The sequence below is a fragment of the Homo sapiens genome, chromosome 17 (genome assembly GCF_000001405.40).
Source record: "Homo sapiens chromosome 17, GRCh38.p14 Primary Assembly".
Classification (NCBI taxonomy): Eukaryota; Metazoa; Chordata; class Mammalia; order Primates; family Hominidae; genus Homo; species Homo sapiens.
Window position 1 is genome coordinate 74325010 of NC_000017.11, and position 16860 is coordinate 74341869.

At 56.1% G+C, this 16860-nt stretch overlaps 1 protein-coding gene and 1 long non-coding RNA gene across 10 annotated transcripts in view, besides 3 other annotated features; both read left to right on the forward strand.

Annotated features, from left to right (window-relative positions):
• Positions 1032-1251: a silencer, noted in NCBI's record as "silent region_8928". NCBI's record gives its function as "represses an Ori minimal core promoter by ATAC-STARR-seq in GM12878 lymphoblastoid cells {active_cell/tissue: GM12878}" and the evidence as "EXISTENCE:reporter gene assay evidence [ECO:0000049][PMID:35858748]".
• The window catches only part of KIF19 (kinesin family member 19), a 29595-nt gene continuing 13951 nt past the window's right edge, over positions 1217-16860 (forward strand). For all 9 annotated transcript variants that reach the window (XM_017024150.2, XM_017024151.2, XM_005257029.2 and 6 more), the window contains exons 1-2: positions 1217-1379; positions 3416-3496. In XM_017024150.2, coding sequence (XP_016879639.1) covers positions 1341-1379; positions 3416-3496 — 120 coding nt within the window. In that variant the 5' untranslated portion in view covers positions 1217-1340. The remainder of the gene's footprint in view (positions 1380-3415; positions 3497-16860) is intronic.
• Positions 3382-4296: an enhancer, noted in NCBI's record as "NANOG-H3K4me1 hESC enhancer chr17:72324530-72325444 (GRCh37/hg19 assembly coordinates)". NCBI's record gives its function as "activates a minimal SCP1, AML or CMV promoter by ChIP-STARR-seq in naive H9 embryonic stem cells {active_cell/tissue: H9 hESC(naive)}" and the evidence as "EXISTENCE:reporter gene assay evidence [ECO:0000049][PMID:30033119]".
• Positions 7841-8135: an enhancer, noted in NCBI's record as "tiled region #11842; K562 Activating DNase matched - State 1:Tss". NCBI's record gives its function as "activates a minimal TATA promoter and a strong SV40 promoter by Sharpr-MPRA in K562 cells {active_cell/tissue: K562}" and the evidence as "EXISTENCE:reporter gene assay evidence [ECO:0000049][PMID:27701403]".
• Positions 12366-16333, forward strand: LOC107985078 (uncharacterized). The gene is made up of 3 exons (XR_007065897.1): positions 12366-15135; positions 15319-15533; positions 16174-16333. It is a non-coding gene; the product is annotated as an uncharacterized LOC107985078 (long non-coding RNA).

Here is a 16860-nt window from a genome sequence, read left to right on the forward strand (position 1 = left end):
CGGGCAGGAGAGTTTGGTTTCCACCAAGTTTTACTTGGTTTATCTATTTATTAAACCCAAGGCTGACGGCTGCTTCTTGCTGCTGTTTATTAATAACGATTCCCAACACAGGCTCCTCAGGGGCAGCCGGGGAAGCCAGTCCCAGGGCACAGGCTGGCATCACACTCTGCCTCTGAGGGACCCCAGGCAGTCTGAGGCAGCCCTGGGGACATGAGTGCTTCCTTTCCCAGCCCCTTCCCTGGAAAGTGAAACCCATCGTGGCTTCCTCTCCCAGTCTTGGGGCTGCCGGGCTCAGCTTCGGTGGGGGCAGAGGACACAGAGGATGGACATCAGAATTGGGAGAGGCTCCAACATCCCCCAGGAAACTGAGGCCCCAGGGAGGCAGGAAAAACCAGCTCCAGGTGGCTGGCCGAGTTGGAGGCGGAACTGGGACCAGAATCCAAGTTTTCCCAGGGCCTCCTGAGGACAGGAACCTTTCCCCTGTGTTCCCTGGGAGTGCAACCGTTGTTATTGTCGCCAAGAATGGAGGCGGTAGCGTCAGACCTAGACTTTCTTGCACAGTATTGTGGCTCTTCCAGCAGCAGGCGGGGAGCCAGCAGGGCACACGGACCCAGCCATCGTGACCTAGATTCTGGGTTCAGGGGTAGAGACTTGTTTGCTAGTGGGTCGCACTGAGTCAGGCTCTTCTGTAGCACACCCCAGGTAACAGAGGTGCTGGGCGGCCTGAGCAAAGGGACAACTTTTTGCCACCCATGCCAGTGGGCAGTGGGTGCAGACACTCACAGCACAGGCACCTGCTGCGATGCACGCGGCGCCCACGGAAACCCGAGGCTGCCAGCCGCCGCCCTGGAGACCCCAGAGACAGCGGCAGATGCGTGTGCTTCAAGGGGCAGCGTGGCTGCTGGGGCGCTCCCTAAAGGGCAGTGGCACGGGGTCGCGCCGCGAGCAGAGGGGCGCGGGTGGGCGCGCAGGAGTTAGCGAACTGACACGGAGGCGCCAGGCGGACGCACGGACGCACCGAGGGCCGCAGGGCCGCACAGCCGGGCACACATCGTCGCGCAGCGGTTCAGGCTCGGGGGCCTCCTCGGCGGAGGCGGCCAACTCTCACCCTCAGCGCGGGGAGGGGCGGGCGCCGGGGGCGGGGCGGCGCCGTCCGGGCCCTCCCCCTGCCCCGCCTCGGGTCGGCGTCCTTAGCCGCTGGCGCGTTGTTGGTTTCGGGTTGTCAGGCAGCGCGCGAGGCGGCGGGCAGCTAGCAGCTGGCGGACGCGACCCGGAGGCGGTGGGGGTGCGGCTGAGCCATGCCCGGTGGCGCGGCCTGAGCCCCTCCACCTGCTGCAATCATGAAGGACAGCGGGGACTCCAAGGACCAGCAACTCATGGTGAGACCCTTTTAGACCCTCCTCCCCACCCCGCTCCGTGGTCTACTTCAGTCGGCCTCCAGCGACAGAGTCCTGTCCCCTCGCCGCCACCCCACTGAGAGGACAGGCAACGACCAGGGCCGGGACTCTTCAGAGCAACTTTCCCCAAGTCCTGCAGGATGGGTGTCAAGAAGGGACCATGGCCTTTTTAGACTTTCCTGAGCCTGAAAATTACCCCAACTTCAACCCCACCCCCACCTTTCCACCCTCCCATTGGGAGATCCCGCCCCCAAAGCGTGCGCAGATGAATCTCGGCTCTCTCATCCAGAAACGCCAGGGGCAGGGAGGGCTTGACCTAACTGCCCCCAGAAGGAGGGTGGCGGTTTCCCAGTTAATCAGAGGCTGCTCCAGCCCTGGTGAGGTCAGGAGTTTAAAGGGATGTGGGGGTCACCAGTAGGAAGACAAGGGCCCCTGGTGTCAGGATGGGGCCCGGAGTGCCTGGTTCTTGGGCTGCAACACGGATGCTGCCCAAGTCCGGATTCGAAGTAGTTCAGAGAAGTGCTAGATGCAGCTACCATGGCCCCACAGAGCCCTGGGGCCTGGGACAGATGGGGAGGTGAGAGTGGGGGCTGTGGAGGGGAAGGTGGAATTCCTGATCATCAGTGGTGCCTGGGCCAGAGCAACAAGGGAGATGACTCAGTGACCTCGAGGCCACCACTAGGCTGTGGGTGGGTGGGTGTCTCTCTCAGCAAGCCCCTTCCTCATCCCCTAATTTTTGAGGTCTGGGGAAGGGCCCTCATCACCAGAAGGTGGGCAGTAAGGTAACTGGAGGATAATGTTGCTCCCAGAGTCCCCTACCTCTCAAGGGTGGGCTTGCTTCTCTGAAAGGAGCCTCAGCTCCAGCCCCCAAGCAAGCCCTGGGCTCTAGGACATCCTCTCTGGCTTTTTAGAATGTGTCTCTTTGAAAATCACTGGCCTTGGCATGTATTGTGTGCCCCGGGGAGCAGGGATGAAGGGTCCTCCCCTCCCGCCAGTGGAATTTGGCTGAAGATGCCACTAAAGGTGACCCGTCAGGTAGTGTAGTTCCCTCTGAAAGTGCCTTTTGTTTTGTTTTGTTTTGTTTTTCTTTTTTGAGACGGAGTTTCACTTTCTCACCCAGGCTGGAGTGAAGTGGTGCGATCTCAGCTCACTGCCCCTCAAGTTCAAGCGATTCTCCTGCTTCAGCCTCCCGAGTAGCTGGGATAACAGGCATGCACCACCACGCCCAGCTAATTTTTGTATTTTTAGTAGAGACGGTGTTTCGCCGTGTTGGCCAGGCTGGTCTCGAACTCCTGACCTCAGGATCCGCCCACCTCGGCCTCCTAAAGTGCTGGGATTACAGGCGTGAGCCACCACGCCAGGCCTGAAGGAGTCTTCACTCGGCCAGAGGGCCGTTCATTCTATCCCCACACCCAGCAGCTGTTGCCCTTTGATCAGCACAAGACGTGCTCCCCACTCCACCCTGTTCTTTAGGGAGATCCACGCACAGGATGAGACCCATTTCACACTGGCTGGAGGACAGGCAGATGGGGGTGGGCGCTCTAGGTGACACTCTCCTCGGTGTAGGAATGTGGTCACAGGCTGTTGGGATGATGGGGGACATTCCCTGCTCCATCCCACCTACCAGGCCTCATCCCAGAGCCGTGCCTGCACCTTCCTCTGCAGCACGTCATTCGCGGAAACACAGAGAGGCTGCTCCAGTGCCAGGGCCCCAAGTTCAAGCCCAGGGGAGCTGCGAGTGTTTTATTTGGGCGTGAGGCTGAGGCAGGCTGGAGGAGCAGACAGCTCTCTCCCCTGGGGCTCTCCCGGAGGCCAGGGCTCCTGGGGAGACTCATCAACTCAGACACAGTCCAACACTCTGTGGACCTGCTGCCCTCTGACCTAGGTAGAGTTTTACTTAGGACAAGGGAGGCCTGAGATGGCTGAATGCTAGAGAAGCCAGGGGCTTGCTTGAGGTCTCTCTGAGGCCCAGCATGGTCCTCTCCCTCTAATCCCAGGGGCTTGGTTTTCCCTCCCAGGTGGCGCTTCGGGTCCGGCCCATCAGCGTGGCAGAGCTGGAGGAAGGAGCTACCCTCATCGCCCATAAAGTGGATGAGCAGGTATGCAGGGCTCTGCAGCAGGAGCTGCAGGGCAGAGGTCTGCTCAGATGGCTCAGCTCACCTGGTGAGGGCAGAAAGGGCCCCTGTGGCTTGCAGCACCCTCCTTCCTCTACTCACTGAACTCTTGGCTGTGCTGTTGATGACATCACCAAGGAAGCTGGGGGCTCTTCTTCCAGGAAGCCTTCCTAGATTGATCCAAGGACAACTGGGAGCTTCCCTAGCCTGGGTGGGCCCTGATCCTTTACCTTTCACATGCTCATTGCTTGACTTTCCCACCCTAATATGCCTGCTGCCCACAGAGCACATATATATATGGTTGAGAGCTAAAGCTCGCCTCTAGGGTGTAACGTGTGGCAAAATCCTCGCTCTCTGTTTGCAATCTTGGTCCTCATGTCACCAGGATGAGGAAGGCAGGGCACACGAGGCAATAAGTGTGTATCAAGTACCAGCAGCATGCTGGGTACTGTTCTAGAAACTGGGAAACTGTGGTGAACAGAAAAGGCCCTGTCCTCTCTCCATTACCTTAAGTCTAGTGTGAAGAGATGAGGCATTCATCAAAGAATTGCATCACAAACAAACGAGTTTGCAGCTAACAAGGGCTTCAAAGAAATGCTTAGTGGCATGAGAGTAGGTAAGAAGGGGATAAGACCTAAACCTGGAGGTCAGCGAGGGCTTCCTTAAGAAACTGTGCTTGACACTTTGGGAGGCCGAGGAGGCCAGATCACGAGGTCAAGAGATCAAGACCATCCTGGCCAACATGGTGAAACCCAGTCTCTACTGAAAATACAAAAATTTAGCTGGGCGTGGTGGCACGTGCCTGTAGTCGCAGCTACTCAGGAAGCTGAGGCAGGATAATCGCTTAAACCCAGGAAGTGGAGGTTGCAGTGAGCCGACATCACGCCATTGCACTCCAGCCTGGGTGACAGAGTGGGACTCTGTCTCAAAAAAAAAGAGAAAAAGAGAAAAAAAAAAAAAAACTGTGCTTGAGCTGAAAACATAAGGGGTGAAGAAGAGGTCATTAGTAGCATGCATGAGGGGAGAAATGTTGACCTGAGGGGCTTGCATGTGCAAAGGGCCTGTGGTGAGAGGGACTGGGATGCAACTGGGTAGCTGAGAAAAGGCCAGAGTGGCTCAAGCAGGAGAGTAAGGGGCAAGAGGTGTGAATGGGCTGGGCCAAACCACATACTCTGTAGACCATGGCCAGGATGTTTGTTTGGGTAGGCAGTTGAGGACTCGTGCTGGGATGTACACAGGCACAGTGGTGGGGGCAACAGGAGTGGGCTTGGTGCCCAGGTAGGAGCATCGTGGTGGTAGGATGTGCTAATGGCTCAGAGAAGTTGGGTGGCACTGTACAATGCAGAGAAAGGCACACGTGAGCACCTGATGGGCCTGGGCTCAGGTCCCACGGGCTGGACTCATGAAGCCCTGGGCCCAGGATAAGCAAACCAGAGGCAGATGGCACACTTCCAATGCCTGTTTACCTCTGGGCTCCCCAGGGGCAGGGGCCCACTCAAGCCTCTTTCTTCAGCAGTGATGATGGAACTGTGGGCACAGTAGAGCCATGGGTAGCAGCATCCTCATTTCTTTGCCCATATTCCTTCTTGGAAAAGGGTGGGCTTCCTCAAAGACCTTGGGGAAAGCAGGGGATGACTGGGAAGACCTCGTCTAAATGGGTCAGACCCAGCTGGAGCAGAATGAATGCACATAAACAGTGGTTCGAGGAGGTTCTGCCATTTGCCAGCTGTGCAGCCTGGGGGGTTGCTTCCAGGAGCTTCAGTTGCCTCATGTGTAAGTGGAGACAGACATCATGATGCCTTCTTTAGAGGGTCTTTGTAGGCTAATGTACGCACATGCTTACCCAGTCCTTGGCACATAGGAAGAGTTTCATAGATGTCAGTTATCAACGTCTGCTAGAGACTGAAATTCCCCAGGGCTGCTGGGTTGGCTCAGGAGAGGAGCCATAGAGTTCAGGAGGAGAAACCTCCTTCCAGGCAAAGCCACTCTGTTTGTCCAACTTGTCCCGAAGACATCAGGTCCTCGGGGTTGGGACAATGCTGACTCTCTCTCTGCTACTCCTGGCTCCTGGCCTGCGTGGGGGCTGATAAATATTAACTGGTGCTGATGGGAACGCTCCCTGTCAAGGGGACAGCCCATTGTGTGCCCACACACGGCAAACACTGGTTCCTTTCTATCCCTGCGTGTGGAGCAGGAGGGGCTCCCTCTCTGGGTCTGGCCTAATCCAGCCAAGATACGCCTCCACTGCCTCCACCTCCAAGAAGGCCTCTGAGCTGGGTGGTTCTAACAGGGCTGCTCCTTTGTCAGCTGGAGGTGCGGAGAGTCTTGTCTGGGCTGGCACTGAGGAGAGCTCTCCATGCAAACTCCCTGTGGGCTTCTGGCCCTAAGCTCCTTCTGTCCCCAGTGGGTTCAAAGTTTGGCTTGCACCAGGGATCCAGCCCAGCCCTTCTAACGGAGGACTGTAGTTTAGGAGCAGCCATAACTGCCAGGCTGGGACCCTTCTAGTAACAAACACTGTCCCTCTGACAAATAAATGCCTGGCAAGTAGGAGACAAGATACATGAACCCAGGAAGCAAAATGCACATGGACCCCCCCTTACCCTTGTCCCCGACCTGACCAGTTCCCCCACCTCCTGACCTTCACCTGACCCTAGTGACCCCATAGCTCGCTCACAGCCCTGGCCCAGAGGGAGGCTTGGGGGTCCAGTCCTCGTCAGCTTCTCTGATGGGGCCAGCTGGCCCGTCAAAGCTCTGTCCTTCCTCCTAAGGCCTGGAGGCACCATGGACAGGTGGGTGTATTTGGGAGCTGAGCCAGGACATGTTCGTCCTGAGTGGGGAGAGGTGGACCGGGGACACAGTAACCCGCTGGGCTGGGCCACCGTGAGGGGTCCTGGGGCAGCTTTCTTTAGTCTAGGCATTGTTCTCCTGGGGACACTTCAAATGAAGGAGATTGTGGCAACGAGGCTTGGCAGAAGGGGACATTCCCACAGGCGGAGAGTCCTCTGGGACAGGAACCCAGGGTGCTTGGATTCTGGGGAAGCTGGAGTTCGGATTTGGATTTTTTTTTTTTTCTTGTGATGGAGTCTTGCTCTGTCACCTAGGCTGGAGTACAGTGGTGCAATCTTGGCTCACTGCAACCTCCGCCTCCTGGATTCAAGCGATTCTCCTGCCTCAGCCTCCCATGTAGCTGGGATTACGGGCGCGCGCCACCGTGCCCAGCTAATTTTTGTAATTTTAGTAGAGACAGGGTTTTGCTATGGTGGCCAGGCTGGTCTCGAACTCCTGACCTCAAGTGATACACCCGCCTCAGCCTCCCAAACTGTTGGGATTACAGGTGTGAGCCACTGTGCCCAGCCGGTTTGGATTTTTAATGGGGATAGTCCAGTTGCCTTGGAAGGCCAGTGATTCCAGGACCCCGTTCAATTCCATTAGTAGTCACAATGCCTTCTTTAGAGGGTCCCTGTGGCTAACGGAGGCACAGTGCATAACACAGTGCCTGGCATGTGTCTTCACAGGGGTTAATAAATGTGAATGTGTCTCAAGGGCTGAAATATGGGATGGCTTCGGGTCCCAGAGGTAAACAAAACCTGGCCCTTGAGCCTTCCTGCTCCCTCTTCCTGTGTCAGAGCACTCAGGACGGTTCCCAAATGAACACCTCAGTGTGTGTGTGTGTGTGTGTGTGTGTGTGTTTGTGTGTGTGTGTGTGTGTGTGTGTGTGTGTGTGTTCCTGGAAGTAAGGTGGGAGCTCCATGTCTTAGTAGCTCCTGGGGTGAGATCAGACCCTAACGTGTAAACACAGGAAGCGGGGAAGTACCAGGTGGGCCTGGTTTAATTTACCTCTGGGGCCCCAGAGGAGCCAGGGACAGCCTGAGAGGCTGGTGGGGCCTCAGCGTTCCAGGTGGGGGAAAAAGCTACAGATCAAACAGCCGTCTCCTCCAATCCCCCATCCCTCCCAAAGCCTGCAGCCCACAGACCCTCCTCCTAGCTCTCCCAGGCTGTTTGTCTGCAGGAGTTAAGTCAGCTGACCATGTGTATGTCCCATCATTAGCATTTACCTGCTGCCACCCCCCTCTGCTCCCGGGGTGCTGTAGAGCCAGGTAAGGGCTCCCACCAGGCCTAGCTGTGGGGCCTAGGCCAGGAGGGCTGGGTGAGGGTGGGAAAGGAAAGAGGAGCGAAGGCAGAAGGGCCACCAGGGGAGATCTGGCCGGACAGCGTGACTCCTGGGATGGAAAGGAGAAATGTAGGCAAGAGGAGCCCTGAGCTCCCGAGAACAGAGGCTATACAGCCTGGGACCCAGGAACCAGAGCACCCAGGCTCTCTCAGCCCTGCCATGTCCTGGTCGCATACTGGTGGGCAAGTTGAAACTCTCCCTGGGCCTCTGCTTCCTCATCAGAAGACAGGAGAACAGGAAACCTGCCCCACCCACCCCGAGAGCTGTCGAGAGGATTAAAGGAGATAATGTAAGGGGGAGCGCAGCCACGCAACTGGGAGGCTGTTGGGAAAGATAAATAAAGTATAAGGTGACAGATGTCAGCTGCCCGAGCCCAGAAGTGCTGCGGGAGCAGCTGTCTTTAGCCCACCTGCCTGCCTGGGGGCAGTGAGGTGGGAAACTCCCTGCACACCGACCATCTGGACGCTTCTTGGCCCTGGTTCCCCAAAGAGCTGAGCTGGTGGAGAGTGGCTAGGGGAGGGGGTCAGGATTCTTTACCTCTCCCCGCTTAGCCACCTGCCTGTGTCCCCAGCCCCTCCCAGCCCCAGGCAGCCACTAAAGTACTATCCATCTCCATATTGCCCCTTCTGGACATTGAATGTGAATGGAATCATGCAGTATGTGGTCCTAATTTTTTTTTTTTTTTTTTTTTGAGACACAGTCTGGCTGTCACCCAGGCTGGAGTGCCGTGGCGCTATCTTAGCTCACTGCGACCTCTGCCTCCCAGGTTCTAGTGAGTCTTCTGTCTCAGTCTCCCAAGTAGCTGGGATTACAGGTGTGTGCCACCATGTCTGGCTAATTTTGTATTTTTAGTAGAGACGGGTTTCCTCATGTTGGCCAGGCTGGTCTCGAACTCCTGACTTCAAGTGGTCCACCCGCCTTGGCCTCCCAAAGTGGTGGGATTACAGGTGTAATCTTTATCAACTTCACTCCTTATGATACAACTTCATTAAGTGATACAACTTCACTCCTTATGTTGTGCATAATCCTCTAGGTTGCAAGGATCCTTACACTCAGCATCTGGATGGATACAATCCACTGTGCCTGGCTGGTCCTAATATTTTTGAAGTTCAAGTTCATTCACATTATAGCTCCTATCAGAACTTCACTCCTTTTTTTTTTCTTTTTTTTTCTTTTTTTTTTTTGAGATGGGGGTCTCACTTTGTCACTGCCACCTTGAATTCCTGGGCTCAAAGGATCCTCCCACCTCAGCCTCCTGAGTAGCTGGGACTATAGGCACATGCCACAGTGCCCAGTTGATTTTTTTAATTTTTAGTAGAGGTGTGGTCTGGCTATCTTGCCCAGGCTGGTCTCAAACCCCTGGGCTCAAGCAATCCTCCTGCCTTGGCCTCCCAAAGTGCTGGGATTGCAGGTGTGAGCCACTGTATCCAGTCACCTGAACTTCACTCCTTTTGCTGGCTGAATAATGTTTGAGGTGTGGATTCACCGTGTTCTGTTTATCCTTTCATCAGTTGATGGGTGTGTGGGTTGTTCTTTTTGGCTCTTGTGCATAATCCTCTAGGTTGCAAGGATCCTTACACTCAGCATCTGGATGGATACAAGGAAGGGTGCTTGTTAACCTGCAGATTTATGGGCCCATTTCCCCACAGATTCTGACTGTGCGCGTGTGGGAAGTGCCTGAGAATCTGCATTTTATAAGCTCCCTGGGTGACTCAGGTGAAGGTATCTGCAGACCCTTTGAGAGACACAGCCCTAGTATATTCTTGGTTATACACACTCCCCATCCTAAGCCTCCAGGTCTCAGAATCGTATAGCCAGGCAGGAATCTGACCAGGACATCAGCCAGGTGTGGCTGTGTCCTAAGCAGCCAGCTGGGCTTTGGTGGCTTTATGAGCTCAGCAGGGTCAACTTTGGCCTTCTCCATCCAGCCTGAAGGCTGACAGGCCCCAGGGACACCCTTCCTGGGATCAACGTTGCCTTTATTGAGGACTCCCAGGATGGTATGTTTACAACTAGAAACATGGCCAGCAACAAATTCTCCTTTAAAGAAACAAACAAACAAACAAACAGAAACAGAAACAGAAACAGCCTTACAAGGCCTAGAATCAGGATTTGTTGTGGTTTAGTTTTACCTGTAAGAATGAAGGGGCTGTGGCCTGGCTCCCTGGGCTGCAGATAAAGCCAGAGCCAGATTATCTGCTGAGGCTTCCTGAGTAGGATAGGGGTGTTGGTATAATATGATTTCTCCTCTCAAGGCTACAGCCATGTTGGTCCTCCTGACTTCCAACTGGGAAAAACTTGAGGCCCAGAGAAGTGTTGGAGCTTCCTAAAAGTCACACAGCAATGTCAAACTGAGCCTCACTTGTGGCACCCCCTCCCTCGGAGATTTTTGCCACTAGCCTTGGAGGCTGTGGGAGGAATGGTCTAAGTCAGTGGTTCTCAACCAGGGCAATTTTGCCCCCAGGAACATTTGGCAGTGTCACAACCGGGGGAAGGGTGCGACTGGCATCTAGTGGGTAGCGGCCAGGGATACTGCTCAACATTCTACAATGCACAGAACTGCCCCCACAGCAAAGAATGATCCAGCCCAAAATGTCAACAGTGCCAAGCCTGAGAAAGCCTGGTCCGTGCTCAGGCATTTGGAGGCCAGAAAGAATCCTGTTAAAAGTGCAAAGCTGATAAATGCAGCTGCAGCCTAGTAGTGTGACATGCTTTGTGCAAAGTATTTCTCACCTAGATGCTTGGGATGAGCCTGGTCCCCCGATAGGGACACAGCTTATGGATGAGACCTCCTCTCCCTGGCCTGAGGCCCCCACTTCCCTACGGGATCTTGAGTTTCCAGCTTAAAAGACTCCGACTCCGTCTGGAACTCTGGAAAGGTCAAAATCTGCATTGAACTAAGAGCAGGGCTGGGAGAGGAGGCCGTGGAGGTGGGGTCTCAAGCCAGAGCCTCTGCTGAGTTGGGAGCCTGGAGCTGCAGCAGCAGATGGGCTTGGAGGGACAGAGCTCTGGCTTGAAGCTGCCCGCCTCCCATGTGAGCAAAGTTGCCATTGAAACCTCCCAGAGACAGGCACCCAGTATGAGCATGAGAATGCATTCCCCGGGGGGGCTGTGAGAGAGAATGCCCATGCTGAGCCCACCTGCTTAAGGCTGGGGGAGGAGCTGGCTGAAGCCCCACCTGGGGTGTGGCAACACTCAGCTCCCTATGGCAGGTGAGCCTGCCTTGGATGTTGTATTAGTTTGCAAGCTGCTGTAGCAAAGTGCCACACACTGTGTGGCTTCAACAACAGCCACTTACTGTCTCACAGTAGGTGGAAGTCCACAATCAACATGGCAGCAGGGAAGGGTTTGCTCCAGGCCTCTCTCCTTGGCTTTATGCTTATTTATTTATTTATGAAACAGAATCTCACTCCCTGACCCAGGCTGGATTGCAGTGGCATAATCTCCGCTCACTGCAACCTCTGCCTCCTGGGTTCAAGAGATTCTCATGCCTCAGCCTCCCAAGTAGCTGGGACTACAGGCGTGTACCACCACACCCAGCTAATTCTTGTACTTTTAGTAGAGATGGGATTTCACCATGTTGGCTAGGCTGTTCTTGAACTCCTGACCTCAGGTGATCGACCTCCCAAAGTTCTGGGATTACAGGCGTGAGCCACCATGCCTGGCTCCCCTTGGCTTTAGATGAGCATCTTCTCCCTGTGTCTCTTCCTAGCAGCTTCCCTCTATGCAGACCTGTGCCCAAATTTCCCCTTTTCATAACGACACTCGTCATAGTGGATAAAGGGCTCCCCCTACTCCAATGTGACCTCATCCTTCCTCAACTGATTACACCTGCAACAACCCCATTTCCAAATAAGGTCACATTCTAAGGCACTAGGCATTAGGGCTTCACAACATGAAATCTCGGGGGGACACAGTTCCACCTCTAACAAGCGGGTACTCCCCCCAGCCAGGCAGCTGTTTGTCCACTCGTGCCCTTGGAGAAGCATGGTGGGCAGGCTGGGTTCTGAGACCCACAACTCTGAATCTGCCCAGCTCTGCACTTTGCAGTGAGGCTGTGGGTAATTTACTTAACCCAACTGATTCCTCATCTCCAGGCAAGTGATAATAAGAGTGCCCTCTCTTTTTTTATTTGTTTGTTTTTGTTTTTTTGAGACAGAGTCTCGCTCTGTCACCCAGGCTGGAGTGTGGTGGCACAATCTTGGCTCACTGCAACCTCTGCCTCTCAGGTTTAAGTGATTCTCCTGCCTCAGCCCCCCAAGTAGCTGGGACTACAGGCGCGTGCCACCATGCCCGGCTAGTTTTTGTATTTTTAGTATTTTAGTAGAGACGGGGTTTCGCCATGTTGGCCAGGCTGGTCTCGAACTCCTGACCTCAAGTGATCTGCCCACCTCAGCCTCCCAAAGTGCTGGGATTACAGGCATGAGCCACCGTGCCCGGCAAGAGTGCCCACTCTTAAGCTGTCAGGGAAAACACACGCCAAGCCCTTGGCACCATGCCTGGCACAATCACCACTCCCTATAAACGAAAGCTTTATTCAGCAAACGTCTCTTGGACATCTGCTGTGTGCCAACCAGGGGGGCCTTTAGAGGGAGGCTCAGAGGATGTACAGAAGCCTCCCCTAGTAGGGACTGCATGTGCTCACGGGGTGGGGGGGGTGCCTGGGTGGGTGGGGCATGCGTGTGCTGGCCTCTGTAGATGCACACGTCAGTTCTCGGATCTGTGCAGTGAAGAGCCTTGGCACATTGAGTGGAAGGTGAAGCTCCAGCTCTCTCTTCCCGACCCAGTGTTTCTCACAAGAAACCCCAGTGATCTGAGCTGAGAACCAGTGCCACAGCCTGCCCATCGCCTCTTTGCCTTGCTCATGTAATAGTCCGAAATTCTCTCTCCACTCCACCTCTCTCATTCTTTAGGACTCAATGCTAGTGCCACCTCTTCCAGGAAGTCTTCCTCTAGGAGTAGGATTAGGTGCCTCCCTGTGCTCTGGCACTTTCCAGGTTATTGACATGATCCTTGAGGGTCGGAAGGCAGGAAACCTGGCCTCCTTTTGCACTCTGTCCCTGAGACCTTGCTCAGCAAGCGTGTTGACCTGGCCTGAGCACCCCATGCTGGTCTCCCTGGCAGCTCAGAGCACCTGTCCCCACCCCTCTCCAGCTCAGCTCTGGCTCACCTGGAGGAGGGGCACAAGGGCTCCATTGTGTGCTAGAGGGGACAGGAATAGGGTGATGCTCTCGAGGGTGGGGCGGGGGCTGGAGCCCGGACAGATGGAACCCAGACAAAGCCCTCTTTAAGCGGGGATCGTGGCAGCTGTGCTGACAGTGTACTACAGGAGCCTGGTTAGCTAAAGGAACCAAATGCCCAGGACGCTGTGAACTTGGCAGTGTCTGGAGGTTGTATGAAGGTCATGGGTGGGATGGGCATTGGTGCATGCCACTCACCCTCCCTAGCACTGAAGGCCCCCCTCCCAGAGGGTGCTCCTCAGGCCACTGGTCCTCCCCGTGTCCACAGGAACACCGGCATTGGGATGAGAGCGGGAGCAGCTGGCTGGGTTCTGGTTGCATCCCATGGGGACCCATACCGGGGAACTCAGAGCCAGGTTTTACCTTCAGTGGGGTCTGACACCAGAGCAGGGCTCATGCTGCAAGCTTTGGGGCCTGGGACAGGGGCCAGATCCTAGAAGAGGCTCACTGTGACCACCTAGCTTCTGGCCAGCTGGCAGGGAGCCTGAGTGAGTGGCCTCATTCTTTTCCCCGCACAAAGCCCCCGGTCCATCCTATCTAGAGCCCTCTCCTGTAACTGGCTGACCTGAAATCCCATCTGATTGGGAAAGACTTCCACATGAGGCTGCCAGGGTCAGGCCTCCTCTTCCCGCTTCCCTCCTCCACTGAGAATCCCAGAAGGGGCCTTGCCAGATACCTGATGGTCATAGGTTAGTTTTGATGCATTGAGCACAGGTATGAACCTATCCCAGGAGTCCAGGTGGTGAAGGAAGGGGGTTTGACCCAGGGCACACGTAGAATGCTGAGGGAGTCTGGTGGGAGCCCCAGGGCTGTCATCCTCCTGGGACTGGGCATTCTAAATCCGCAAGCTCGATCTGGGTGGACCCAGAGGGACCCACGAGGATCTCCTGGATCCATGGAGCCCGGCTGTGCTCACAGCTCTGCTGCCTGCTGCCCCCTCACCAGCCTCTCCTCACCCCAGAGCGGCCACCCCTCATGCCTTGTCTGTTCCCAAGCCCTTTTTGGGACTGTCACCAGCCCTGGCTCCCCTGCTGACCCAGGAAGGGAGCATAGCCCCTGTCTCTGCTTCTATGGGGCACCCCTATGACAGCCCACCCTCCTCAGTACCCTGCCCGCTGTTAGGACTCAGTTTACCTCCTTGGACAGTATCTTATCCCCGGTTGAGTTAGGTAGGGCTAATGCACACCCTGGGTGTTGGGGCTTCCTGGAATTACAGGAACTACTGAGGGACAGGGCAGGAACTCCCCTACCTGCCCCACCCCACAAGGCCCCTCGTGGGAGTAGGGGTGGAAGTGTGTGCGTGAGAGGCAGTTTAGAAGGGTAGCCGGAGCACCAGCTGGGACCCAGACTGCCAGGCCCCAGTCCTGGCTCTGCCATTTCCTAGCAACATGACTTTGTGCCTCAACTTCCCCATCTGAGAAGAATCATCGTGATGATTCAAATTGAAGTGCTCAGTCACAATGATCCATTGTGATTATGTGCTGGGAGGAGGGGGCTGCCCATGCCCTACCTCCCTCGCCACCTTCCCTCCCACTGAAAGAGGGGACCGATGAGACACCCATTCCCTACCTCCCTCGCCCCCTTCCCTCCCACTGAAAGAGGGGACCAATGAGACACCCATTCCCTACCTCCCTCGCCCCCTTCCCTCCCACTGAAAGAGGGGACGCATGAGATGCCCATGCTGGCTGAGGCTGCCGTCATGCACTCCGTTCAGCACCCACGGCCCCAGGGAGCATGCTCCCTTCTCATGAAGAGCACGGTGGTGGCTCATTTTCCCCTGGCTATCACAAGCCAGGACCCCAGGGAGCCCAGGCGTCCCCAGGCGCAGAGCAGCATTTAGAGGCGCCAGCTGCCTCTCAGGGGGCACCTCCGCGGTGCAGTGGTTGGGGGTGGTGCATGAGGACAGGGACTATGGTCCAAAGGGACCTCAGGCAGGTGCAGGGCCTGTGGAATCCCAGTGACCTTCTCCACGGTGAGGGTGGAGTTGTGGGTCTCGACTTGATGGCAGAGTCATGGGTGCGGGGAACAGGTGGCCACTCTCAGTCTCCACCCCTGCCCTCTTAACAGCCCGTTGAACAAAGACTGTTGAGCTCTTGGCACATGCCCAGCGCTGTGCCCAAGCACATTACACGTTGTTCCAGGGTCTTCCCAGCGCTGCAGGTGGATCATGCTGCTGTCCCATCTGACAGAGGAGGAGATGGAGGCTCAAGCAGGTTATACCAGGCCCGACCACCAATAAGAGGTCACAGGGCCCTCAGTGCCTACCCTGATTCTCCTTTGCTGCCCCTGCTCCTCTCATCCTAAATCCTCCAAACTCAAGCCCTCCCACGCATCTTTGAATGTCTCCCGTCATTTCCATGAATCTGGCATTGTCTCTATCCCCTCCCATACCCTAGACTAGGGCCCCCAGCAAGGACGCAGCCTCCTTCCTCTGCATCTCTGCATAGAGCTCGGGACAAGGCTGAGTACACACCAAGTGCACAGGGGCAGAGGCAGGGGCAGAGTGGAGCAGGCCCTGAGATAGTTCTAGAAAATGGGCCCCTCGGTTACCTTTGGAGGAAGGGAAGAACCCGGCCAGGACCCTTCTGTGTCTCAACACACGTGCCAGCAGGTATGCGCGCGCGTACACACACACACACACACTGCTGCCACTCCTACCCTGCAGGGAGGGGAGCCCCAGCTGGGATTGGCCCACCCATGGCCTGTCCTGGCTGCCAGCCCAAGCCCCTCTGCCTCCCTTTCCACCCTTTCCACTCCCGGCTCAGGCTCAAAGCTGCAAAGGGCCACTGGAGCAGTTCCCTCACAGCCCTCTCAGCTGCGAGTGGAGATCCCCAAGCCCAGCGTGCTGACCTCATCCCTCACCCAGCTGCCTGTGGCTCTTTGCTCTGTCCCAGGCTCTGCCCTGGAGGGGTGAGGCGGAGCAGGCAGGGCTGTAGCGAGGTGGATAGGAGTCAGTGGACTTTGAACTCAGAGCCTGGTTGGCACCCTGGGTCTCCCCTTGCTGATGTGTGACGACCTGGGGGGTGTGACTCCTTTGGACCCTGATTTCCTCATCTGTAAGGTGGGAGTCATAGCTGGCCTTAGCCTGGGGTCATGGCTGGGGTTAAAAGAGACTGTGTGAGGCCGGGTGTGGTGGCTCATGCCTATAATCCCAGCATTTTGGGAGGCCGAGGCTGGCGGGTCACTTGAGGTCAGGAGTTTGAGACCAGCCTGGCCAACATGGAGAAACCCCATCTCTACTAAAAATACAGGTGGCACACGCCTGTAGTCCCAGGTACGCTGGAGGCTGTGGCAGGAGAATCACTGAACCCAGGAGGTGGAGGTTGCAGTGAGCCGAGATCACACCACTGCACTCCAGCCTGGGCAACGAGCAAGACTCCGTCTCAAAAATAAATAAATAAATAAAAGAGACTGTATGTGTGGGTGCTTGCAACAGGTCCTGACACAAAATGAGCCCTGACAGATGCTGCCCGTTCTTCTGTTGCACCTCTCTGGCAGAGGCAGCATGGGGGGTGTTGAAGTGAGGGGCAGGCCCCCAGGGTCTGGGCTCGTGGTAGCCTGGGCATCACCTGTGTGTGCTCTGCTCCCCTGGGGCTGTACTGGCCTTGCAGAGGCAATTGCTCGTTGTCAGGAAGGTGTCCCCTTTGGGCATCCAAGGGCAGATGATGGCGAGCCTGACCCGACATGGGAAAGCTGAAGAGGACAGGAATGGGCTCTGGCTCCGAGACCTACCTCCAGTGGGACCTGGGCCCTGGACTCCGGCCTCTGGCCCCTCCCATCTCTTGCCCACATCCTGAGGCGACGAGGGCTAGATTCAGAGCCCAGAAGGGCTTTGTTAACTCTGATCGACAAAGGGGTTAACTTTGTTAACCTTCCTGAGGGTTGACCTCATCAGGGCCCGGGGTTCCCAGGTGACCGTGGGCCTCCCTCTGGGGACC